Consider the following 26,775-nt stretch of genomic DNA (forward strand, 5'->3'; position numbering starts at 1 on the left):
TATTTCTTTATAGCAGTGTGAGAATGAACTAATACAGATGGGCAATACATAATGATAAAGGGTTCAATTCAACAGGAAGACCTAACTATCCAAAATATATATGCAGCCAACACAGGAGCACCCAGATTCACAAGGTAAGACCTATGAAGAGACTTAGATTTCCACACAATAACAGTGGGAGACTTTAACACCCCACTGGCAGTATTAGACAGATAATCAAGGCCAAAAACTAACAAAGATATTCAGGACCTGAACTTGACAGAATGTACCTAATAGACATCTACAGAACTCTCCACCACAAAATGACAGAATATACATTCTTCTCATCTGCACATGGCACATACTCTAAAACCAACCACACAAATGGATATAAAACAATCCTCAGCAAATTCAAAAAAACCAAAATCATACCAACCACACTCTTAGACCACAATGCAATAAAAATAGAAATCAATACTAAGAAAATAACTCAAAACCATACAATTATATGAAAATTAAAGAACTTGCTCCTGAATGACTTTTTGGAAAACAGTGAAATTAAGGCAGAAATCAGTTCTCTGAAACTAATCAGAACAAAGATACAGTATACCAGATCTCTGGGACACAGCTAAAGCACTGCTAAGAGGGAAGTTTATAGTGCCAAATGCCTACATCAAAAATTCAAAAAGATCCCAAATTAACAACCTAACATCACATCTAGAGAAACTAGAGGAACAAGAGCTAACCAAGCCTAAAGCTAGCAGAAGATGAGAAATAACCAGTAGTAGACTTGACTTGAAGGAAATTGAGACAGAAAACAAACAAACAAAAAAAAAACCCCAAAAAAACCCATGCAAAATGCCATATAAACACAGACCTCTTGTCTTTGAGCTGATTCTATGAAATCACCTTTCCCATACCATTAGATTTTAGTCTTAAGAGGTATCAGCCTGTTGCTTCTGACCTCTTAGTGGGGTTTTCAGCTTAGGAAATATTCCATTACAAATATTTAGGCAGGAAACCTAGAAGGAAGTCTCAAATGCTTTTATTAAAATCTTATGCAACTTTAATATGTAAGAGTCCTTAATGTATTAAGGGGTGGAGGAAGCAGATATAGGGAATGTGTACATTTTCTATGGTTAGCATAGGGCCAAAGAATAAAAGGAGATTGTAGATTTTATTTTTTTAATTCTGTCTTTTTTGTGGATAACTCATTGCATTTAAAAACTGTAAGATGGGTTAAGCAGTTGCATTTAGATGAGAGCAGTGAGGTGATAGATAATCCAGGCATTCAAATAGGGTACAAATGAATTTTTCAACTACATTTTAGAACAGCAATTAAATGTAATTTATAATCTTATTTAATTGATAGGTTGTGGTAATTAAAGGAGCTTTCTGTTGTAAGTGATCTTGTGAGATAAAGGACATTGCTGTCAAAATATTTTTAATATTTAAAGCCAATATTTCAGGTAGATGTCGAAGTGATTTAGCTAATTATTATTCTTTTATCCCAGATATGCTACAATTAAATGATAAATAATTGGATTTTTTGATAAACGGGATGTAAGGAGATATGTGTGTTTTCTGATCACCAAGTAACTATAAATATTTTGCACACACTGAATTTTTTGGAGGGCAAATCTGGCTCTCTTATTGCAAAACACTTTTTTTTTTTTTTTTTTTTTTACAAATTTGATGTGTATGGTTCTTCTGCTTTAGTCATAGAATAAAAAATCATATTCTTACAAAAATCTTATATTCAAGCTCTCTATGACCATCAATGATTTTCATTATTTTTTTTCTGCTTAAAAATCCAGAGAATTTCTCTCACTGATTTTTGAGGTTTTCTGCCATCTTATGTTGCTAACTTTCTTTTTATTGTCCTGTTTGACGCTGTAGCCACGCAGGTCTCCTAGTGCTTCAGCTCAGGCTGTTCTTTGACACTCAGTGCCATTCTCCTTCTCCTCCACACTCTCCCATCTAAGCCAGATTATAACGTGTTCAGTTTCCAGCTTCATAACTTATCACTGCATGACTCCGAACAAATAGCCTAACTTCTCTGAGCCTTACTTTCCTTATCTATAAATTTGAAATAATATCCACATCACAGTAATTGTGATAATGAAAAAAACACATACAAATATTTGAGCATAGTTTCTGCCAAATATCAAATATTTAATCAGTGTTATCTGCCACTATTACTATTATAACTCTGTTTTTATAGCTATTATGACAATTCTATTCTTCCTCAATTAGTTAAAAATTGACTTTCCCCAGAAACCCTTTCTGATTGTTCTTATATACCTCTAATTTTTTCTCAGATCTGTTTCCTCTTAGCACCTGGCTTCCCTTTGGACTATGTTAATCTACCTATGTTATTATATTTCTTTCATCATTCTTCAGCGAACAGCAACAAATACTTTGCATCTATCATATGCCAAGTACTCTGCTATTATAAAGGGATCCATGGGCATATAGTAGAGGGATTCAGTGTGTGTGTGTGTGTGTGTGTGTGTGTGTGTGCATGCATGTATGTACATATGCTTTCAAGTGGAGTTAGGGAGAGAAAATCTGTAGGTTGAATAGAGCTATGAATTTTTCAGAATAAACTAGGCTTAAGGAGCAAAAACCGTTCTCTCCGAATGTTCTTGAAATCTGAGATTTTTTTTTTTTATGGTTCAAAACATAGAAACACTGTAGTTATCTCTGATCTTGAAACAGCTTTACATATGCTTTCTTGGACTCCTATGTCATCATCCAGATGCAGGGTAGAGATAGAAAGGGAAGTCCTCCTTGAAGAACAGAATCCTAACAGATTATTCCAATTTATATTGGGGAGTGGGAATGTTGTGGGAGGGGAATTGGGGGGCAGGGTGAGAGGAGAGGGAGAACATTCCGGGCAGCAGGAACAGTATGACCAAAGGCGCTGAGACATGAAACTGCCAAGAAGGATTGAGAAGTGCACAAAGTTTGGTGTTACTAGAGTCAAGCATTTCAGGAGATGAGTCAAGAGTCAAGCATTTCAGGAGATAAGGCAGGACAGGCCGTAGGAGCCAGCTGGATCAGACTTAGAGGCCTATGGCTTATATATTTATATCTCTCTATAAGGCACTTAGGGAGGTAGGTCTATATAAACAATTTATAACAGGTAAATTCTACATGTTGCTTCTAAATTTGGACTTGGGGCTTACAATATGGCATGTAATACATTCCTTCCAATTGCTGTTGTCACCAGAATATGATGAAAACATTAGTTAAGTTAATATATAATTGATATTTAGCACTCTCACTTTTAATAACTTGAGTGAAGGATAGAAATGTGAAGTGTCATTTGTGACTTTTGAGGTGGGGGATTCTGTATGAAGTTTGATAGTAGAGATGGGATTTGACGGGATTGAGACATCCAATGAGAAGAGTCAAGAGGATCACTACAAATGTGTGGCCTCGAACCTTTCAGTACCTTCTTCATATATTTTACACAGTAGAAAGCCAAGTGCTTTCTATTCACAGCTTCATTTTACACAATTATGTGTATGACAATGTACAAATACATTTTCATCAATATTTGGTTTGTATTTCTTTGTTGGCATTGCAATTAAGTTTTGACTTCCTTCCCCTCTCCACTCCTTTGATTTGATATATCAATGTGTTATTCATAGCTTATGCAATACCTGATGTTAATATTTAGCTCTAAAAAATTTTACATTTTTACTCCAAAAATATGTTTTCTAAGTTTGAGTGTTGTCCAGTAGATTTTAACTCTGTCTTTTTGTGGTGTTTCCTCTTCCTTGGAAATTAAGCATTAGGACCCAAAACACCCTAACCGCAAGAGCTTAAAATTCCCAGAGAAGAATTAGATGTGAAAGAAACAACTCTATAACTTACTTGAACTTTAATTAGCCTGAAAGTGGAATGTCAGGGAGAGGTCTGCAAGGAGGCTAGGAAAACAGAGCAAAGCAGAATATCAGCATATTTGCAGCACTGTGCAGGGGAGATCATACCCTTATTGAGGGGTCCATGCTTACCAAACAACTTTTTAATTATCACTCATGGATTTGCCTATAGAAGTTGCCAATCTACTGATTCAAATATACAGACTTCTTGGCCCTTATATTTTTCTTTTTCTTTCTTTCTTTTTTTTTTTTTTTCTTTTTGAGATGGAGTTTTGCTCTTGTTGCCCAGGCAAGAGTGCAGTGGCGCAATCTTGGCTTACAGCAACCTCCGCCTCCTGGGTTAAGCGATTCTCCTGCCTCAGCCTTCCAAGTAGCTGGGATACCAGGCATGTACCACCACACCTGGCTAATTTTTTTGTATTTTTAGTAGAGACGGGGTTTGTCCATGTTGGTCAGGCTGGTCTCAAACTCCCGACCTCAGGTGATCTGCCCGACTCAGCCTCCCAAAGTGCTGGGATTACAGGCATAAGCCACCATGCCAGGCTCTTTTTTTTTTTTTTTTTTTTTTTTCTGAGACAAGGTCTTGCTCTGTCGCCCAGGCTGGAATATCGTGGTGCAATCTTGGCTCACTGCAACCTCTGCTTCCCAGCTCAAGCGATCCTCCAGCCTTAGCCTCTGGAGTAGCTAGGAACACAGATGTGAGCCACTATGCCTGGCTCATTTTTGTGTGTGTGTGTGTATTTTTCCTGGAGATGGGGTTTCACCATGTTGCCCAGGCTGTTCTCCAACTCCTGAGCTCAGAGCGATCCATCAACCTTGGCCTCGCAAAGTGCTAGGATTACAGGCGTGAGCCACTGTGCCTGGCCCAATTTTTTTTTTTTATTTAAATGAATTACTTCAGCATTTCCAGTTATAAAGCAGCCTCTTAAGAATTCTGCTTCTCAGGTGAACAGACAACTCAAGTGTCTGAACCCGCAGGGCTGAGCTGCCAACTCCTGGCTGTGTAACTCCTCCCAGATAATGCCCCTCCCTGAGGTCCTAGCTGGGCTTCCAAGACCCCTATTTCTTGGATAGCTCCATCTTCTCTAATGTTTTGTAAAGTTTTTATGGAAATATATCAGACATACAGAGGAGTGCACAAAGCATATAAGTATAGTTCAATAAATTTCCTTACAGTGAATGCACCCAGGCAAGCTGCCTCCAGATGAAGAAATAGGACAATACAGGCCCTCCAGAAGGGTACCATGTGTTCCCACCCAGTCACTATTACTACTCACATGTAACCACTACTCTGACTTTTGCCACCATAGATTAATTCTTTCCTGTTTCTCTTTCACATTAATTAGCGCCTGGTATTCTGAATGACCTAGGATATTAGGATCCGTCTGGCTGAGGGTGAGCCTTGGGCACCCCAACGAGGGTGTAATTGGTTCAGTTGTGCCCCCCTCCCCCCCCCGCTCCAAGAGATATTTAGAAGTCCTAATCCCCAGTACCTCAGATTGTGACCTTATTTGGAAATAGAGTCATGGCAGATGTAATTAGTTAAGATGAGGTCACACTGGAGTAGGGTGGGTCCCTAATGCAATATGATTAGTGTCCAGGTGAAGACAGAAACACGGGAAAACACCACGTGAAGACAGAGAATTGTAGTGATGCATCCACAAGCCAAGGAATGCCCAAGATTGGTGGCAGAGCCAAAGCTAGGAAGAGGCAAGGAAAGATTCCTCTCTACAGTTTTCAGAGGGAGCATGGCCCTGCTAACACCTTGATTTCAGACTTCTGGCCTCCAGAACTGTGAGACAGTAAATATCGGTTGTTCTAAGCTACCCAGTATGTGGCACTTTGTTTCAGCAGTCCTAGGCACTAATACAGAGGTTCTGCCATGGTACTGATCCCTCTTCTCTGCATCCCCTGAGTACACTTGGTTCTTGGTCTTGAAGATGGTCCAACTGAGTAGTGGCTACACCCTGTCCAAGCTGTGGCTCTCTAAACTGACTCAAAAACTGCCTCTCTTGCTTCTGCTTACTCCCTGTCTGTGATGTGCCCTGGGGGCAGACAAGTTTCATTATCATTATATTGGTTTTTCTTCATTTCTTGACTCTGCTCTTTACTACACTTTGAGATTGAGCCAGTTTGCTTCCTGACATGCTCCAGGTTGAGCCTTGCAGACCTGCCCTTCTGCACCTTGCCTGGGTCTCTGCTGAAGTGTTCTTATTCATCCTCCTAGACCAGATTGGGGCCACACCTCTGGTGTCCAGTTTTTCCCAGTTCCTTTGGCCCCAAAAATATCTTTGATAGGAAAAAAAAAAATCAGCTCACTTTATTTTTTAAATGAAATCCTGATTTTCCAAATAGTGTGGCATGTTGTAAATAAAGGCTTCATTATGCTGAACTTTGGCATGTCAAAGATTCCTTCTTCTTTGATAAAATAGAAAAGCCCTCAGTTTAAAAAGCAGCCCAACAATTAGACTTTGGTTAGTAATAGGGAACCATGCAGAGCATACTAGACATGGGATGTTCCTTACTCATTGAAAGATCGTCTTTAAACTGCCTTACAACTTTTTTTTTTTTAAATTTTATTTATTTATTTATTTTTTGAGATGGAGTCTTGCTCTGTCACCCAGGCTGGGGTGTAGTGGTGTGATCTCAGCTCACTGCAACCTCTGCCTCTGGGTTTCAAGCGATTCTCCTGCCTCAGCCTCCTGAGTAGCTGGGATTACAGGCACTTGCCATCAAGCCTAGCTAATTTTTGTATTTTTAGTAGAGACGGGGTTTCACCATGTTGGTCAGGTTGGTCTCAAACTCCTGACCTCAGGTGATCCACCCCCCTTGACCTCCCAAAGTCCTAGGATTACAGGCGTGAGCCACTGCGCCTGTGAACTTATCTGTTTTTTATTTTGGGCTGAGTTTCTGGTGTTAGGGGAATCACAAGGACAGTACTGTTGTGAAGTCCCCAGAGTGACTCTCTAGGCTCAGGCCAGTTCCTGTGTTCTTGCTTTGGGACCTAGGGACTCTGCTGGTGGCATTTCTTTTAAATCCTCTTAGCACAGACTGTCCTTTGGTCTTTAATGTCCTCAGCCTAGAGTGGATGTACATTCTTCAACTGTCCCTTTCTTTTCTGTTCAGAAGCAGTGGAATATTGCTAGCAACTATGGGAAAGTCTTCAAGACATTTTTAAAAATCACCAACTTTCAGAAGTTTAGGTAATCCTAGTTTTGGTTTCTGGTCTATTTGACATTCTTAATTCTCTTGTTAAGCCTCTTTCAGCTTCTAGCTCCTGTTGTTTATACTGGGAAGTATTTTGCCCTTGGAGGAGGGAGTTTTAGGCTAATTATATATTATATATAATGCACATTTTATGTAATTGAAAAAATATAAAACAGTACACTTTGTAGTTCAGAGGTCAGGGATAGAGCAAGGGGTTATGTGTATGTTATGTTTTATTGTCTGTGTTTAAATGTGTGACTACATGGGCTTGCCTTTAGTACATCCATACTCTCTCGGCTCAGACAGTCCTTACACCCTGAGATTTCATGGCATGTGATAGATGGGTATAATTATCTGTGATGGATGGTTGGATGGATAGATGGATGAGATAGGTTGGTTGGATAGATGGATGGATGAGATGGGCTGAGATGGATGGATACATGGATATATGGATAGATGAACAAATGATAGGGCTGCTCCATCTGCTTGGTCGGTTTTCTCACTAAACTATTATGCTAGTGATATGAATTTCAGTTGATTTCAGGGGTGCCTCCTGAAGCTTGGAAGCGTTTTCCTAAGCCCAGGAGGATTTCTTAAGCTTCAGAGATCTAGAACTGATAACTCCTTAGCTTGGCTATGGAATGTACTAAAATATTGTTCTAGTAGGTTGTGAAAGTGAGGCCAAACAGACTCCATTGTAACCCTCAGTGTACTGGGGTGACGTTTTTCATTGGGAGCCCAGATTTTTTTTTTTAATTTACCTTCTTGGGGATTGCGTACACTTCTGTAGAAGATACTTTTCTTCTCCCCTCTGCCCCAGAAGAGAAATGCCCTTTGAATTTTGTATTGTATTTTCTAGACTGGGTTGTTTTATAATGTGAATAATGTCGTCAGTAAATAGTTATCCATCTTTTGAAAGATCTACCTTTTAATGTTTTCTCAGATTCTTCTTTATAGAAAATAACGTTAACAGTGAAAGAATTCCATACATGAGTCTTCACATTTTTGTCAGTGAAAACAAAATTATTTTTTTAATTTTTAAAAATTATGCAATATTATTTATTTTATTTTAATTTCCTTATTGTTACATATTATATGTATGTATTTTGGGGGCACATGTTATAGTTTGATACATTCATATAATCACATCAGGATAATTAGGATATTTGAGTCTTCACATATTTGTTAACTAGATTTCAGTTTACACTTGATAATAAACCTTGTTACAATGTCTTTGAGGTAACATTTGCCGTTCATGTAAGTAGATCATTGTTTATAGTCACATCATTTATAAGTCTAACCACTTCAAGACTAAAGACCAGGCTCGTTCATGCTCTGTTTAATAGTCCCCTTTATCAGACATTGTCTATGGTATGTGGTAGGCACTTCACAGTCCCTTGATTCTAAAAACAATGTGGTAACCTTCCTGTAAGGTTGTGCCTTGGATTATTTTCTGGCCAGAACACAGAACAAAGCATTCCAGAGAAACCTTGGTTTGTTTATCTACTTTCTTCAATGCGCTCATTTTTTCAGCCCCGTCAGTATGGTTATCAGGAAGAGAAATTGGTTATAAGAAGACTATTTTCTGCATCTACTTTCTCTTCAATATGTTTTGTTTTCAACAGCGTTATTATAGATTCACATAAACTGGAAATCTTTTTCTGTTTTATTTCCTTTTTCAGAGATTCATAGTGTTTTAAATATCTAGGTATCTTCGGATGACTTGAGCTACCAAAGGTTTATGTTACATGACTTAAACTACCAAAAACATGTTTATGTTTTAGAAAAAAATTCTATTTAAAAATGAAACGACAATTCTAAAGTATTTCTAGCAATTTGTACGATTCACTAGCTTAGTAAACTGTTTTTACCAGATTGGCAAAAAGTGATTTGGCTCCAAAATGACATTTAGATAATCAAGTCTCTGAAAACAACCTAATTTCTACTCCAAGGAATGTACAAATTTGTGATGTATTTGTTTGATAGAATAGAGCATTTAAAAAGAATGAACCAGATCTTTAGGCACCATATGGATAGACCTAAAAATTAAAAATATAGAGTGATAAACACAAATTTCAGAATATTATGTATTTGCTATTCAAATGTTAACACTGAAAACAATATCATATACTCTATAATGTTTATGAATATGTATGTGTGGGTATGTGTTTTTGTGTGTATATATAAAAAGGGGACTGACTATGTATCAAATCCATGATACTGGGAGGAGAGGAATGGGGGTAGGGAAGGGACCATAAATCTAGTTTAAAAATATCTTTCAGAAGAGATGGTTATTTTTGGTAATGAGCTCATGGGCATTTATTAAATTAACATTTGGACCTCTATTAATGTTTTTGTGATAAATATGCATAATATTTCCTAATGAAATAGATCACAACTAGGAGCCATACATTTATCAAGATTCTGGGAATGAGACTGAAGCTATTGTTAGGCACACCTAATATTTCATGATGTCATTCTGTGCAAATTGAAAATTAACAGAATGAATTTTGAACATGAGGAAAGCTTCAAGTTGATCTCACTCTTGGGAAGCTTACAGGTTGGGAATAAGGACCCTGGCAGCAAACTGCCTAAGAGCAAACCAGCCTTGATACCTTTTAGCTTAAGACCTTGGGCAAGTCATTTAACTTCTCTAGGTCTCAGTCTCCTTTTCTGTAGAGTCAGAATAGTAGTGCACATCTCCATCTCAGTGCTATTGTGGGGATTATATGAGTTTGTGCCTGTGAAACCTGGAATGTAGTAAGTGTGCAAAAAAGATTAGCTATTATTTTCTTTTCTTATTTGTATTTATTTATTTTTTTGAGACAGAGTCTTGCTCTTTCTCCCACGCTGGAGTGCAGTGGTGAGATCTCAGCTCACTGCAACCTCCGCCTCCGGGTTTAAGCGTTTCTCTTGCCTCAGCCTCCCTAGTAGCTGGAATTACAGGCGCCTGCCACCATGCCTGGCTAATTTTTTGTATTTTTCGTAGAGACGGGGTTTTGCCATGTTGGCCAGGCTGGTCTCGAACTCCTGACCTCAGGTGATCTGCCCGCCTTGGCCTCCCAAAGTGCTGGGATTACAGGTGTGAGCCACCGCGCCTGGCCTGCGCTATTATTATTTTCATCACTGCCCCTGCTATCTGCAGCCTCGGTTCTTTGAGTGTACCATTTTCATTCTCACCTCAGAATCTTTGCAAATGCTTCTTCCTCTGCCTGGAATGTTCTTTCTTTCTACCCTGTTTTATCTGATTAACTCCTCTTCATCCTTCAGAGACACTTCCTGTCCTTCCCTATCTGGATCAGTCCCTAGTCACCCTACAATTGGAACTTGATGATTACTTGTGAACTACTTGTTAATTTCTGCCTTTCTTGATGAACTGTAAACTGTTTTTCTTCTTCGCTGCTGTATCTCCAAAGCCTAAAACAGTGTCCAGCACAGAGTAGTCAGTGAGAAATTCTTTATTGAAGAAATCAACAAAGTTACCCTAGAAAGTGAAAACATTCAGAGTTAAATTTAGCAAGAAATGATTTTGAAATTCACTTTGCCTTAAGGATCAATCCACTGGTTTTAGGAAATAAATCTAGGATTGTTTCATTTCATAAAAAAATCTATCATATGTATTGATTTATTTGTAATAATAAATTATAAGTTGCCCTAAATTAAGATTCACCTCATATTTGTAACTTAGCTCTAGGAAATCATCTGATTGATAGTGGTATATGTGTTGTCACATTTTCATTTGCTGTGGAGAGCAGGACAGTTTCAACACGGGAATTTTAAGGTTTGGTATATGCTCATCTGATTGTTCACCCTTAAGCTAACTCATTTCTTTCTTTTAAAAATAGCAGAAAAGGTAAGGGAAAAAAATCAGATTGGAGAGGATATTTCCTAAGGGCCAGAATAATCCAGGCTTATTCAGAATAAATTGGCATAATAAGTATTTGAAAACAGAACTTTCAAATATCAGATGAAATGTTATTTATAACTTTTAAGCAAACTAAAACAGTAAACTCTTTGGAAGGGGGACTTTTAGAATCAGGAAAGACAGAAACTTGTTCCCCCTTAGTTGTAGTTTTATTTACCCTGGGAGAAAAACATAAGAATGCTTTCAAGTGTAAGGAAGGGCTGTGTATTCAGATATCAGCATACTGCTCCAAGAAAGACATCAGAGAGTTTTGAACTGATTGAAAGCCCAAATCTATTGGATCAGTTGAGGAGCAGAGCAAAATATGACCAAGCAATAAACGAGTACCTTCAAAGCTTTTAAGAAATTCTTATAGTTTGTATAGGTGGTTGGGAGGTGAAATTCCAGGGCTAGGAATATAATGTAAAGCCCTACAATGAAAAAGAAGACTGCAAATTGTGGCCTTAGGGGACTTTCCCTGCCCCGTTCAGAGACACATGATTTTTTTTTAACAGAAATCCCTGGAAAAATTACTTTAGAGCCATGTTTTCTTGCATTCTGCATTTTCATTAATGGTAGTATACTGAAATCACAAATTCATTCATTCTTTTCTTCATCAGAGCACATTTACTTAGTTTTAAGTACTTTCCAAGCTCAGAATAAGGTCACCATTCTTCTATGGAAGTGAAACATCTCTTCTTTAGAATTGTGCAAAATTAATTACTGGTTGGGGTATGACCTTGGGGGTATAGGATATAACATGTTTTTGGACATTTGAATGTGTGGACTCACAAAACTCTGCTAATAACCACTTAACCTATTTATTAATCATCTGCCTCAAAATCAGGGCTGAAGACTTTTGAAATAATGTAGTTAGAAGACTCTGTACAGTGACCATACTTTGGGAAACCCTGGTTTAAGTAACATTCGAATGTTCCTGTTCACCCTAAATTCTTGCCACTCAAAGCAGGGGCTTCAGACTAGCAGCACTGGCATTCTTTTTTTTTTTTTTGCATGATTTGGGAGCTTGCTGGAAATGCAGATAACCAGGCCCTGCCCTAGACATGCTGAATCAGAATGAGCAACTTAACAGGATGCTCAGGTGATGCCAATGGCTATTAAAGTTTGTTAAGCACTGCTCTGCCCACTCCTGCCAAATGGACTTTAGAACATACTAGTAATGTGTGACCCACTTTCCAAGAATGCATCCTGTATTAGGCAGTCCAAATATTAGCAAGGTCTTCCTAGTACTGAGCTCAAACTTAACTCCTTGAATTTTGCATTCACTGGCCTTGGCATAACTGCTTGGTAGCCATCAGAACCAAGTAAAATCCTCTTCATGAAGGACCTTCAAGCCTGTGACTAGGCTGTCTTGTTTCCTTCCTTGATTTAAGCTTCCCCAGGTGTAACTAAATCCCTGTTTCCCCCAGTATGACAGTGCTTGAGGTTTCTTTACCAACTTATCCAGACTAAATAATCTTTTTTTTTTTTTTTGAGATGGAGTCTCGCTCTGTTGCCCAGGCTGAAATTCAGTGACATGATCTTGGCTCACTGGAGCCTCTGCCTCCCAGGTTCAAGGAATTCTCCCTGCCTCAGCCTCCCGAGTAGTTGGGATTACAGGTGTGAGCCACTGCGCTCGTCCCAGACTGAATAATCTTAAAGGACCCTTCCAACTTTAAAATTGTGATGGATTCTTTAGTAATAAGTAATAGTGGATAGAAGATGATGGAAACTCAGGAACTATACTTTCTATACATTTAAGGAGAGAATAATCCTGAGGCACAAATATATCATGATCCATAATTTCTTTAGGTTCAAAATTCTGTCTCATGGTGAAGACTTCTCTAATAGTAGGCATTAAACAGCACTCCTTTGCTTTTCTCTTGATTTCTAAATGGGTTTGCTACTTAACACTTCAAAAGTGAAATGTATATAGAGATATATGAAAATAAGCACTTTCAGTTTCTTTGAAAATTGAAACATTTATGTACTTAAAAAAATTCTCTGTAATCTACAATTCAGCACATCAGCTGATTTTGTTTTTCTTTAATGCCTTTCAGTACAGTACATTCTCATTTAATGTCATTAATAGGTTTTTGGAAACTACAACCTTAAGCAAAACATTTTTGTTCATTGTCATTTTATTATTGATGAAAAAAATTGGTTTTGATGTACCTTACTTTGCTGAAAGTCATAGTTTCCAAGAACTTATGAACAATAAGTGAGGATTTACTATAAGGTGTTACATATGCATATGTCTAACAAATGGAAATAATCTTCATGTAGTCAACTTTTAAAAACTTTCTTTGGTAAAATCTATTTTTTATGTTACTATATGATTTTCATAATCAAGCATAATTATTTCCCTGTTTAAGGGCATTAGAGTTCATAAATGGCCTATGAAATAAAATATTTGCCAATTTTAAGGTATTTGTTTTCTAAGAATTTTTTAAAATAAATATATTCTAACAGAGACCATAGCAGCAGAAAAACCCCACCTTCATCCTCTTAAGGTCCCAGCTGGGTCCAAGAATTAAATTGACATAAGTTAGATTAACAGGAGAAAAGCATGCACATTAATTTTACAAGTTTTATGTGGCATGGGAGCCCTCATAAAGAAGTAAAGACGCAAAGAAGCAGTTAGAGCCAGTTACGGGCATGGCTCATTTTATTGTATTTCATAGATATTGTGCTTTTTACACATTGAAGGTTTGTGGCCACCCTTTGTCCAATAAGCCTATTGGTACCATTTTCCCACAGTATGTACTCACTTCTTACCATTGTGTTACATCTTGGTAATCTTAATATTTCAGATTTTTTCATTATTATTATATCTGTTATGGTGATCTATGATCACTGATCTTTTTATAAAATATATATTTTTTTCTTTCTTTTTAAATTTTATTTATTTATTTTATTTTTTTGAGACGGAGTCTTGCTGTGTTGCCCAGGCTGGAGCGCAGTGACGCCATCTTGGCTCACTGCAACCTCCGCCTCCTGGGTTCATGCCATTCTCCTGCCTCAGCCTCGCGAGTAGCTGGGACTACAGGCACCCGCCACCATGCCTGGCTAATTTTTTGTATTTTTAGTAGAGACGGGGTTTCACCGTGTTAGCCAGGATGGTCTCGATCTCCTGACCTCGTGATCTGCCCGCCTCGGCCTCCCAAAGTGCTGGGATTACAGGCGTGAGCCACCGCGCCCAGCTGATCACTGATCTTTGATGTTACTATTGTAATTGTTTTGGGACACCACAAACTACACCACTATAAGACAGTCAGCGTAATCTATAAATGTTTATGTGTTCTGAATGGACCACCGACCAGTTTTTTCCCTGTTTTTCTTCCTCCCCTTGGGCTTCCGTATTCTCTGAGACACAACAATATTGAAATTAGTCCAATTAATAATCCTCCAATAGCCTCTAAGTATTCAAGTGAAAGGATGAGTTGTATATCTCTCACTTTAAATCAAACGCTAGTAATGATTAAGCTTAGTGAGGAAAGCCTGTTGAAAGCCAATACAGACCAGAAACTATGCCTCTTGAGATAGTTAACCAAGTTGTGAATGCATAGGAAAAGTTCTTATTACAAGTGCTTCTCCAGTGAATACACAAATGGTAAAGTGAAAGCCTTATTGCTGATATATAGAGAGTATTAGTGGTCTGAATAGAACATCAAACAAGCCACAAAATTTTCTTGAGCCAAAGCCTGATCCCAAACAAGGCTCTAACTCTTTTCCATGAAGACTAAGGGAACCTGCAGAAGAAAAGTTGTAAGTCATGAGGTTTAAGGAAAGAAACTCTCCATAACACAAAAGTGCAAGGTGAAGAAGCAAGTGTTAAAGAAGAGGCTGCAACAAGTTATCCAGATCTAGCTAAGATAAATGATGAAGGTGGCTACACTGAACAGTAGATTTTCATTGTAGACAGACAGTCTTCTAGTGGAAGAAGATGGCTTCTGGGACTTTTATAGCTAGAGAGAAGTCAATGCCTGGCTTCAAAGCTTCAAAGGGCTGGCTCACCCTCTTGTTAGGGGCTAATGCAGCTGTTGACTTTTAAGTTGAAGCCAGTACTCATTTACCATTCCGAAAATCCTACAACCCTTACAAATTATGCTAAATCAGCCAAGTGCGGTAGCTTACGCCTGTAATCCCAGCATTTGGGAGGCCAAGGCAGGAGGATCACTTGAGCACAGGAGTTTGAGGCCAGCCTGGGAATCATAGGGAGAACCCATCTATTAAAAAATAATTGTCCTAAATCTACTCATCCTGTGTGCTATAAAGGAACAGCATGGTTTACTGAATAGTTTAAGCCAGTTATTGAGACCTGCTGCTTAGAAGAAAAAGATTGTTTTCAAAATATTATTGCTCTACAGTGCACCTAATTACCCAAGAGCTCTGGTGGTGTTGTATGAGGAGTTTAATGTTGTTTTCATGCCTGCTAAAACAACGTCTATTCTGCAGTCTCTGAATCAAGGAATAATTTCAACATTCAAGTCTTATTATTTAAGAAATATAGTTTGTAAAGCTCTAGGTGTCACATAGATAGTGTGTCTAGGGGTCACATAGATAGTGACCCCTCTGATGGATGTGGGTAAAGTAAATTCAAAGCCTTCTGGAAAGAATTCACCATTCTATATGCCATTAAGAACGTTTGTGATTTATGGGAGGTCAAAATATCCACTTTAACAGAAGTTTGGAAGAAGTTGATTACAACTCTCAGGGATGACTTTGAGGGCTTCCAGATTGTAGTGGAGGAAGAAACTGCAGATTGATGGGAATAGCAAGAGAACTAGAATTAGCAGTAGAGCCTGAAGAAGTGACTGAATTGTTACAAACTCATAATAAAACTTTAATGAATGAGGATTGCTTCTTATGCAGGAGCAAAGAAAGTGATTCCTTGAGATGAAATCAGCTCCTAGTGAGAATGCTCTGAACTTTGTTGAAATGACAACAAAGGGTTAGGAATAGTAGATAAATTTAGTTGATAAAACAGTGGCAGGGTTCGAGAGGATTGACTGTAATTTTGAAAGAAGTTCTGTGGCTAAAATGCTATCAAAGAGCATTACATGGTACGGAGAAATATTTTGTGAAGGGAAATGTCAGTTGACACAGCAAACGTCATTGTTTTATTTTAAGACATTGTCACAGCCACCCCAACCTTTAGCAACCACCAGCCTGATAAGTTAGTAGCCATAAGCACTGAGTCAAGATCATCCACTAGCAAAAAGATTATAACTCAGTGAAGGCTCATATGATCAATCATTAGCATTTTTAGCAGTAAAATATTTTAAAATTAAGATATGCACATTGGTTTTTAGACACAATGCTATTACTGCACACTTATAGACTGTTGTATAAACATAACTTACATCCATTGGGAAACTGAAAAATTTGTGACTTGCTTTATTGTGATATTTGCTTTATTGCAGTGGTGTGGAACTGAACATGCAATATCTCTTCAGTGTGTCTGAATTTATTTTTTATTTATTTGTTTATTTTTTTTGAGACGGAGTCTCGCTCTGTCGCCCAGCCTGGAGTGCAGTGGCACAATCTCGGTTCACTGCAACCTCCACCTCCCGGTTCAAGCGATTCTCCTGCCTCAGCTTCCTGGGTAGCTGGGACTACAGGTGCCTGCCACCGCGCCTGACTGATTTTTTGTCTTTTTAGTAGAGACTGGGTTTCACCATGTTAGCCAGGATGGTCTTGATCTCCTGACCTCGTGATCCACCTGCCTCAGCCTCCCACAGTGCTGGGATTACAGGTGTGAGCCACCGCGCCCGGCCTGAACTTATATACTAGATTGAACATAATAAACTGTGAAAATGCAGCTAAATTGTGTGGGGAGGCTTAAAAGATAAGAGTTATTTCAACAAGCTCTGTCTCAACATCTTGTCTTTGAAGATAAGGATGTTGCCATTTTTTCTAGTATAAAGAGGGTATCTTCCATGTGGGAATTTCATTTTCTGCTTTTAAGAAACAGCACAAGGGTTAATGAGATATTCATGCAGCTGCTATTTTTCAAGTGCCTTTAACTTAAATAGGCAAAATACCGGAATATTAATACCATAATAATGGACTTAAAATACTCCATAAACCATGCTGTTCTTTTATAGCACACAGGCAGAGTAGATTTAGCATAATTGTTTTTAACGTCCTAAAGAGCATGCATTTTGTGTGTGCGTGTCTGTGTGTGTGTGTTAGTCTTGTGTAAAAATAGCTGTAGCAAGAGAGGTTTGAGATTTTTTTCATTTTTTTTTTTTTAGAAAGTAGCCCACGGCACATTTTTAAACTAGTTGTTCTAATACTTCACCCACACTTCTTTTTCCCTCACTTTCTTCTAGATATTTTTATTCTTCTTGATCTCCTCCTCATTCTCCTCTCTCCTTCTGTCCCTTCCTCTTCTAATGATTTTCAGAGAAATAGATACTTCTCTCACCTCACCTCTGCATTTCAAAATAAAGCTGCGTGTATGTGTGGAGAGAAGCTGGAAAAGAAGACAGATGGTTCTTTCATTACCAGGTTACTTGGGATTAATTGAGCTGGGTATGTTATTATTTTTAAGGAGACTGAGCTGGGTCCTTTGGAAAGCCAGTTCTGAAAGGCAGGCAATAATGTAATATGTACTGTTGGATTTTTTGTTTTGTTTTTGTGTTTGGTAATTTCATCATCCTGGAAAACATTTTTTAGGAGATCAGAAGTGAGTTTACTAAAATGGCGTTTTCCTTAAAGTTTTAAAAATGACTTTACATTTTTCTGGGGCAGCTGAACCATTCTTAGAAACATACTATCTTTATGTTTTATTTCAGCATTTGCAAGTGAGGAAGCAGCACAACCCTGGGTTTTAGATAATTTCTAACAGAGAGGCCCCAGCAATTCAGCAGGCAGCGTCCTGAGTCTTTGGCAGCCTGGTCCCTCTTTCGCAAATTCTCCACCTTTGCGAACAGAGGGTCTTTAGGACACAGATTCTTAAAAGTGCAGGTAAGCAAAGGCAACACCACCATTGTCTCAAATTGCTTAAATGTAAACTTGAGCACTTGTAATGTTCTTATACAATGCTTCTCTTGTGGGTGATGTTAAAATCCCCTCTTCTATGAATACAGGTGCCTGCTATTTTTTTCTCTTACTAGTTTTGCAGCCTGGGGGCCTATAAGACTGCTAATGTAACCCATGACCCTTCAGCATATCCCACAGTTGAGCTATGAGAGTCTTAAATATTATTTTTATTCTCAGTTGAATGGGCCTTCTTTGGGACTCTTCTTAACCAATACATAAGTGAGGAGTAAGAAAACTCTTAAAATTAGAACATTATATGCATCACAAATATTATAGAAATTCTACTGTTAACCAGCTTTATATTGGGCAAGAGGGTTTCCCTCTTTGGGCCTTGTTTTCTCAATAGAATTAATTCCAGTTCTCTGTCTTTAAGTGCAACAATTAATGATAGTTTCATTAAAGTACCTTCTAATTTTTTAGGCTGATTTTTCTTACTTTTTTTGGAATCCTATGCACAGATTTCAGACATCAATGTATAACTTTATTCTGAAAAAAGATCTAGAGTTCAGATGTCTACCAGGAATGAACTACATGTTTTACCCATGAATATATGCAGGCACTCAATGATTTATTAAGGTTCATCAGAGAATGATTATTCTAGCAAATTTGTTTGGAGATCTTTTTGGGAAAGACACTTATTGACTGATAACATTATGCTTTAGTAGTGCTGGCCAATATGGACACTCATAATGGTCTTGTGATTTAGTCCTAGGGAACCTCTTAAGCTCTTGCTTGTTCCTATTGAGATTGCTCATGAGGGTTTCAAAGTCCTTCCCCAGCGTGGTCCTTAGCCACTGGACTTGCAGAACTCTTGAGGACCTGAATCAAGGCTGGAGGTAGGGCTGGATCCTCAGGTTTTACTGCCAGCAACACCTCAATTTAGTGGAATCTGGACTGTAATCATCTTGGTGATTTGTAAAGCTGTTTTTCTTGTCAATCTTTACCATTTCTGGCATCAAAAAGATGGAAGTATTTTGAGAGTCTTTGTGATGCTCCTGGACTCTAGTACGTGCTTGGGTTCAAGTCCCAGCTCTGTCACTTTTGATTTGGGTATCCCGGGGGAAGTTATAACTTCTCTGTGCTTTGGTGTCTTTATCTGTATGATAGGGATGACGATAAAGCCTTTCGTAAAGGTTGGTTTTGAGGATTAAAATAAGTCTATGTCTAAAGCATTTAAAACTGTTCTATCACATAAGCGTTTAGTTAATTTTAACTGCTTTTTTTTCTTTTTTTTTTTTGAGACGGAGTCTTGCTCTGTTGCCCAGGCTGGAGTGCAGTGGCACGATTTTGGCTCACTGCAACCTCTGCCTCCCGGGTTCAAGCAATTCTCCTGCCTCAGCTTCCCAAGTAGCTTGGGACTACAGGCGTGCACCACCACGTCTAGCTAATTTTTGTATTATTTAGTAGAGCGGGGTTTCACTATATGTTGGCCAGGCTGGTCTCGAGCTCCTGACCTCTAGTGACCCACCTGCCTTGGCCTCCCAAAGTGCTGGGATTACAGGCTTGAGCCACCGTGCCCGGTCCTAATTTTAACTTTTTATTGGCACCTGTCATACAGTGTTTATTCTTCTGTCCTTATTCTCTAGCCTAGGGTGAGAAAAATTCCAGTCTTTATCCTTACCTTGTTAAACATTGCTAGAGTCACCATGGTATTTGCTTCAACACCTAGGACACAATATCTGAATCCTTCTCAACATTATAATGGATCCAAATGAGAATGAAACCTATTTCATGAAACCTATTTGCCAACTCAGATTGTTTATAGAGTTCTTGATTTTTATTTGCTTGCTTCAAAACATAAATTTGAAATGTTGTTTACAAATCTGAGTTTTTTGTTTGTTTTTACTAAATTTCAGAGCAGTTTTATTATGAAAAGCATAAAAAAGATATGGTTTCTATAGCCAGAAATAGGGTCTAATTCTAAGATGAGTTTTGCCAGTGAATTAATACTATTTTGAATGCCTTTCACTTTATATTCAAAAGCAGATGAGTAAAGCTTCCTGTCACAGATACTTTAAGATGTTAAAATGATTGTGCAGCAATAATAGCACAGTAATGGAAACTTAATTTTTCGAGGCTGTTATTAGCACAAAGTCATGAGTTCTTTAGCATCTCTACCAGGACATTAGGAAGCTAAGTTTTTAGGGAGGGCTTGGTGCATGGGAAGCTGATACTTCACTAATTTTAAAAGAAGAATTGAAACAAGATTAGGAGAGTCTTTACCATGTGCCAGTTACTTACCTAAGTATTTTATATTTACTACTTGTAATAGCTCTATTAGGAAGTATTATTATTTCTTATTTTACAGCCAAGGAAGCTGAAGTGTAAAAAGATTAGGCAAATTCCCAGGGTGATACAACTCATCAGAAGAAGAGCTGAGACTCAAACTCAGGGGGTCTGATTGTCAAGCAAACAATCTTAACACCTAATTATGCTACTACCTACAAAGAATAAATTGCCAATGAATTATTAAGACCAAATCATGGAAGTCTTAAATACCAGGCAAAGTGACAAGATGAGAGCTGCACTTCGAGGATTTTATGCCAAGTACAGCGTGTGGGCTGGTTTAAAGGGAAGAAAGATTAGAGATCATTGCTAGTAGCTAAGGTGAGAAGTAATGAGAACATGGGTTTAGGAAACAGGATTAAGATAACAGCTTGAAAACACCTGTATTTAGGTGGACAGAGGAAGAAGAGGAAATCTAGAAACACAGGCAGAGAAGTAGAGGAGGGAGGCCGTGTAGTGCTACCCAAGGGGAGATTCTGGAACTGAAAACCGTAGAGATCAGAGAGGATTGGAACAAAAACAAAGACGAGTGGGTTTGGAGATAGTAATTTATTTATTCATTTATTGACTTTTTTACTCATGAAATAAGTAAATATTATTGTGCACCCATAATGTGACAGGAATTGTGCTGGAGGGGAACCCGTGTAAAATGTTCTTCTTTATTACCAACTTTGCTACTTATTAGCAAGATAGCCTTTGACAAGTTTTTTTTTTTTAAACTTTTCAAAATCCTGGCTGCCTCTTCTGTAGTATGATACGTAAGTCCTCACTGTGTCTAAATGCCCCCAACTCTTGCGGTCTTCCCAGCTCTAAGATCTGTAATTCTTGGGTTCAAGTTGTAAATTGCAATAATTGGAAATGTTGTAAATATGTGGCCAATGATTCAGTTGGCACTTAGGTGAATCAGAAGGAGATGCAAGATAAGGTGTGTGTCCTATAGCTGTAATGTGAATGGAGGAATCCTACATATTTTCCCTCAAAAATACTGGTAGTATCATACTGACACTAATAGTAGATGGAAGGATGAGACTGAAAATAATACAGGAAAGACAGTGTCCAGGGAATTAAAAACAAAAAACAAAAAACAAAAAACCCCACAAACATTCCCTAGAGTGGTGAGGGAAATTTTTCTCAAAGCCACTTATTTTCAAAGGGAATCTGACTAGTTTCTTCAGAGAAACTTCTGTTGATTGAAAACTTTCAAAGGTCAAGCCCTAAAGACTCTTAAAAGATGTAGCATAAAACTTAGAATGAGCTGCCAGTTCCCCTCAAAAACTGTTTTCTGTGAAGCCCTGATCTTCTCGGCTGGATACAATTCCTTTTTTCTCTGACCTTCTCCAGCAGTGCTTCTCAAACACACAGATCACATGGGGTTTGCCAAAATCCACTTGACTCAGTGGATCAAAGGTTGGAGCTGAGACTCTGCAGCTCTACCAACTTCCCAGGTGATGCCAGTACTGCTGGTCCATGGACCACACTTTGAATAACAGAGGTGTAAAATAGTTTGCTTTAATTCTCGTAGCAGATAATGGAAATAATTTTGAAACAGTGTAACAGCTCCTTCACCAGACTGTGAGCTCTATTCTCCATATCCTAAAGTCGAGTACGTACACATTATGAAATTCTTGATATTAATAGATAAGAGATTCTTACCTCGGTCAGTGATTTGTATTATTCAATAGCAGTAATAATTTGAACTGGTATAGGTAGGGCTTTTTTTTAAACTGAGATAAGCACCAGCATGCAATATAACTGAGATAGGCACCACAATGCAATATAAAGTTTTCATATAAAGTTAAACGTGTTTACCATATGGCCCATGAAAACGTATATCCACCCAAGAAGTTGCACTTGAATGTTTAATGCAGTTTTATTTACAATAACCAAAAATTGCAAAGAAACCAAATGTGTATTGCCTGATAAATAACTTGTGAACTGATAAATTAATTGTGGTATGACCATACAATGGGATGCTATTTAGCAACAAAAAGGAATGAACTCCTGGTACAAGCAACAACTTGAGCATTTTTTTAAAAAGTATTATGTTAATTGACAGAAGTCAGAAATAAGATATATATTATATGATTCAATTTATATGAAATTTTAGAAAAGCAAAACTATAGTGATAGCAGATCAGGCTGCTAGGGGCCAGGAAGTGGGAAGAAGGAAGTGACTACAAAGAGGAACAAAGGAACTTTTGAGGTTGATGACAATGTTTAGAATCATGACTTCAGTGGTTGTTACCTGATACACTTAAAAGTGGCGAATTTTAGTGTATAAAAATTTTATCCCCAGCTACTCAGGAGGCTGAGGCAGGAGGATTACTTGAGCCCAGAAGTTAGAGACCAGGCTGGACAGTATAGTGAGACCCTGTCTCAAAAAAAGGAAAAAAATGAATAAAGGCAATTTTAAAAATTACACACAGGCTGGGCATGGTGGCTGATGCCTGTAATCCCAGCACTTTGGGAGGCCGAGGTGGGTGGATCACTTGAGGTTAGGAGTTCGAGACCAGCCTGGCCAACATGGCAAAACCCCATCTCTATTAAAAATACAAAGAATTAGCCAGGCATGGTGGCACGTGCCTATAGTCCCAGCTACTTGGGAGGCTGAAGCAGGAGAAATTGCTTGAACCCGGGTGGTGGAGGTTGCAGTGAGCCAAGATTGCATCACTACACTTCAGCCTGGGCAACAGAGCAAGACTCCATCTCAAAAAAAAAAAAAAAAAGTAGCCACAGTCATCAACCTGTTAACAACATCTAATGCTTCTTGGAAGCTGATATCTTATTAGCAGGATGTTAATAAGAGAATACAGGGACAATTTTTACTTTAAGAGAATAAATGGGCATGGAAAGAAAATGTGAATAAACAGTAGGAACAAAAGAAGTTCCCTAAAAGCTTACTTGTGTACTTGCAATGGACCTGAGTCTGAAGAGAGAGCTCTTGAAAACAGGAACTCCAGTTCTTCTATTTTTAGCATCCCATATAGTTGCTATTAGCTGAATGATTTTAGTGTGTCCTGTTGTGCTATTAAAGAAGAAAATTCTGCTGAGAAGTCATTTCTCTCCTTTTTATATTCTTTGCAGTGAGCACACCCCACTTTCAGGAGAGGATCTGGTCATCTGCTTTGGCAGAAGGCTTATCTTTAATTAAGTGAAAAGATCTGTCTACATGTGCTAAGGACAGTGAAAGCACTGGTGAAAGCACTGGCTTTGTTGAAAAGCTGAAAGAGAAGGGTGTTTGTGCATATGCATGTCGGAACCAGCTTCATATCATTGTATTAGCAGAAGAGTTGGGGGAGGAGAGGGAAAGAAAGTTAATTATACGTGTTCCCTTTCTGCAATGCAGAAAGAAAATAGTTATATTCTTAGAAATCAGTCAAAATGTATACAGCTGATCTAATTTGTTGACACTACACAACTCAATATTTTTGGAGGGGGGCATAAATCAGATTTTCTGTTAATTTACTCAGCAATGTCAGAGTTTTTTTCTTAACTTGTATTAAATAGCATTAGTTTATAACTTCAGATTAAATTTAGCCTTTTCGTTGTAATATTGTATGTTTAAAAAATCTATATGTGCTGTTTTTTATTTCTTTAATTATGGTCTATTGAGAATTTCGTCATCCTTCTAGCAGAAAATCCCATCAACCAGACTACTGATTCCTTAGGATTTCTCTCTTTAATTATGAGATTAATAGCTTTTCATATTATAATGTTTCTAAAGAAGTGTGTTTGATAAATGCATAATTTAATGTGTATCATCCCCTTGTTTTATTTTTAAAAGATATTATTAAATGATTATTTAACAGTTCATACTCTTAAAAATATGGTTATTATAGTTTTCTATAAGCCACAATTTCAAAGTGTGGGCTTTGAAATCAGATCTCAGTTTGAATTCTGGCCAGTGCTCTGGGTATTAAACATATCTAGCATGGGGATGAAAATATCCGTGATTTCATCCTTATGTGAAAAAGGGCTTAGTACTGTGCTGGCCATTTAGTAAGTGGTTAATAAACTGTGCTATCATTTACATGATCATCGCTGCCAGAGGTTGTAGATCCTTGGGATATGAATGAAGCTGATCTCACGCATTTGGACTACCTAATTAGTAATAAGGACCAAACCTAAAAGAGAGGTAGTAAATGAATTGAGGAGGACTGAGGCCTTTCCATTCATCACTGTGGAGTCCTGTACATTAAGGCTCAGGTCATATGGAGATGGCTGGGTCTGTGAGGCTTAGGCTTAGGGGACCTATGAGGCTGGACCAAAAAAAATCTAGACATTAATGCATGGCTAGAGTTGGAGGTTCTGTTGTAGATTTGCTCATGTAGGCATGTGACTGCAGATTATAATCACAAATTGAGTAATAAGTACAAAGAGGAAGGAAGGCAGGATGTGAAATCTGTTGGCCATGTTCCACACAGTCTGGAGTGTATGTCAGTGTGAGCTGAAGACCAGCAGAGACTAGGATGGATGACGGCCTGTCCAGGGGCTGAATGGACACAGGTGTCAGCAGGGCCACCTGGTAAAGGTATGGAGGTGAGCCATGAACAAGGTTACCTGCTTAAGGGGAAGGTTGTGGCTTAAATCTAGATGCTGCTGAGATATTAGACATTAGGTGCCCACAGGCTGTGTGGAGGTAGAAGGGGGATGTGCTTCTCTTATTTGCACAAAGATGTGAGTTACTGAGGAGTATTATTGAACAGCAGCATGTTGGGTTTGAGAAGAGACCTAGTAGTAGAAAGAGTAGTATGTCTGCCACTGAGGAAGCAGGGAACAGAAGGGTGCCTCACCCCAGGGCAGATGGGGACATGGTTTAGGATCCTAGTGACTAAAAAAAAAAAAAAAAAAATGGAAGTTTGGCTGCAGAGCTGCTAGGGTGACTAGGAAAGAGAAGAATGCAGACGTTGGAAAAGTGTGGTATAGTTTAAGCACCCAGCAGCAGGAACCCAGGTCCAGTGGATGAGATGACCAGGATCACTACTGGATCCACAGGAACCTGACCCAACTGTTAAGCTGCTAGTCGAGGGCTCCTCAGACTCTCTTTCTGTGGGTCAGAATCAGTCCCAGTGCCTGGGGTGGCTGGGCTTGCAGATGGGCATTAGGAAGCACCTGCTTCCAGACTGAAACAGAACTGGGGATGGAGGAGACAGGGAGGTGAGGTTTGTGTGTGCTCAGCATCCGGAATAGAGAACGCCAAGGGTCTTTCTTCCTTGGTGTTGCATATTGACTGAGATACCCACCGGGTTTTTCTATTAGGTTGGTTTTAAATGACAAAAACCACAATTACTTTTGCACTAACCTAATGCTTGATAAGTAGAACAATGTTTCTAGAATTATTGCTGAACATGCTTTTTTCTAGCTGGTTGGAAAAGCAAGCTCCCTTTGGTTTGAGAAAGCATTAGGGGAGTCTAAAAAAAAACCTGACATTTTTTTCAAGTGTTTCTCCGTAGAGTTTGTTTTTATAAACAATGCTAGCATGGTTGGGAGGAGCAGAACTGGGAACAGGGTTGGGAGTAACAGGCTTTTATTTCAGCTGAGTTTGAATCAAAAGTATTATAAGCTTTACCTCCATTTCATCAATTACTAGAATTGATATTGCTTAAGGAGCTTGCAGGATTGCTTAAGTTGGAGAAATGTTCAGTAATGTTTAGTCTGGTAGCAAAAGGAGGGGCCTGTGCTCACTTGTGAAAGCTCACATCTAGGGGGAGGTAGTATAACGCATGGCCTGTGGCCTGATAGAGACAGATTTGAGTCCTCGTTCTGCTACTTGTCAGCTCAACAAAGTCGTTGCTTCTCCCAGAGTTTTGGTTTCCTCCTCTACAAAATAGGAATTGTAAGTCTACCACTTCTTTTGCAAGGTGGTTGTCAGGATGTCATGAGGTAATACACCAAAAGCAATTATCACATGCCTTGGCACAGGCTAAGCACTCATACATCTTAATGCTTCTAATCAGTTGTTATTCATTGAGCATTTACCACGTGCTAGGCATTTAGGGTAAAAAAAAATAATACAAAGCATCTAGTTATGGGATCTGTATCTGTTACAGTCTCTGTATTTCAGAAATTCTTCCATGGTTCTATTGTATTTCTTAGAGCAGTGATTCTCAAAATTTTAGTGTGCATAAGAATCAAATTGGTGGATGCTGTTTAAATGCACATTCCTGAGCCCCAGAGATTCAGATTAAGTAGAGGCTCAGGAGTGTGCATGTTAACAAGTCCCCGCCTGGTGCAGACTCTTGAGCCTGCCCTAGAGTCACCTCCTTTCACCAATATCTGAATTTACCCTTCTAGACTTCAAGATACCAATGGAACACCATTAGGAATTTTCAGATTAGAATTATCTCTTTTAGATTTGCCTTGTGCTTTTTATCTTGAGAGACAGGATAACACCAGGAATGGAACTCTGAGAAAGAAATGATTGAACCATAAATCTATTTCTGTCTTCCTTAAACTG

General features: G+C 38.4%; 1 protein-coding gene across 18 annotated transcripts in view, besides 1 other annotated feature; it reads left to right on the plus strand.

The window, feature by feature from the left end:
• ST3GAL6 (ST3 beta-galactoside alpha-2,3-sialyltransferase 6) overlaps positions 1-26,775 on the plus strand; it is a 63,591-nt gene that overhangs the window by 6,321 nt on the left and 30,495 nt on the right. For 7 of the 18 annotated variants that reach the window (NM_001323360.2, NM_001323352.2, NM_001323362.2 and 4 more), the window contains exon 2: positions 17,787-17,958. The exons of 9 other annotated variants lie outside the window; for them this stretch is intronic. The gene's annotated coding sequence lies outside the window, so the exon portion shown is untranslated. Of the gene's footprint in view, positions 1-17,786; positions 17,959-24,757; positions 24,858-26,775 lie in introns of those variants that run through there. 2 more of the 18 variants (NM_001323368.2, NM_001323367.4) reach the window with 2 other exon arrangements.
• Positions 5,793-5,842: a silencer, noted in NCBI's record as "silent region_14561". NCBI's record gives its function as "represses an Ori minimal core promoter by ATAC-STARR-seq in GM12878 lymphoblastoid cells {active_cell/tissue: GM12878}" and the evidence as "EXISTENCE:reporter gene assay evidence [ECO:0000049][PMID:35858748]".

Source organism: Homo sapiens, chromosome 3 (genome assembly GCF_000001405.40).
Source record: "Homo sapiens chromosome 3, GRCh38.p14 Primary Assembly".
Classification (NCBI taxonomy): domain Eukaryota; kingdom Metazoa; phylum Chordata; class Mammalia; order Primates; family Hominidae; genus Homo; species Homo sapiens.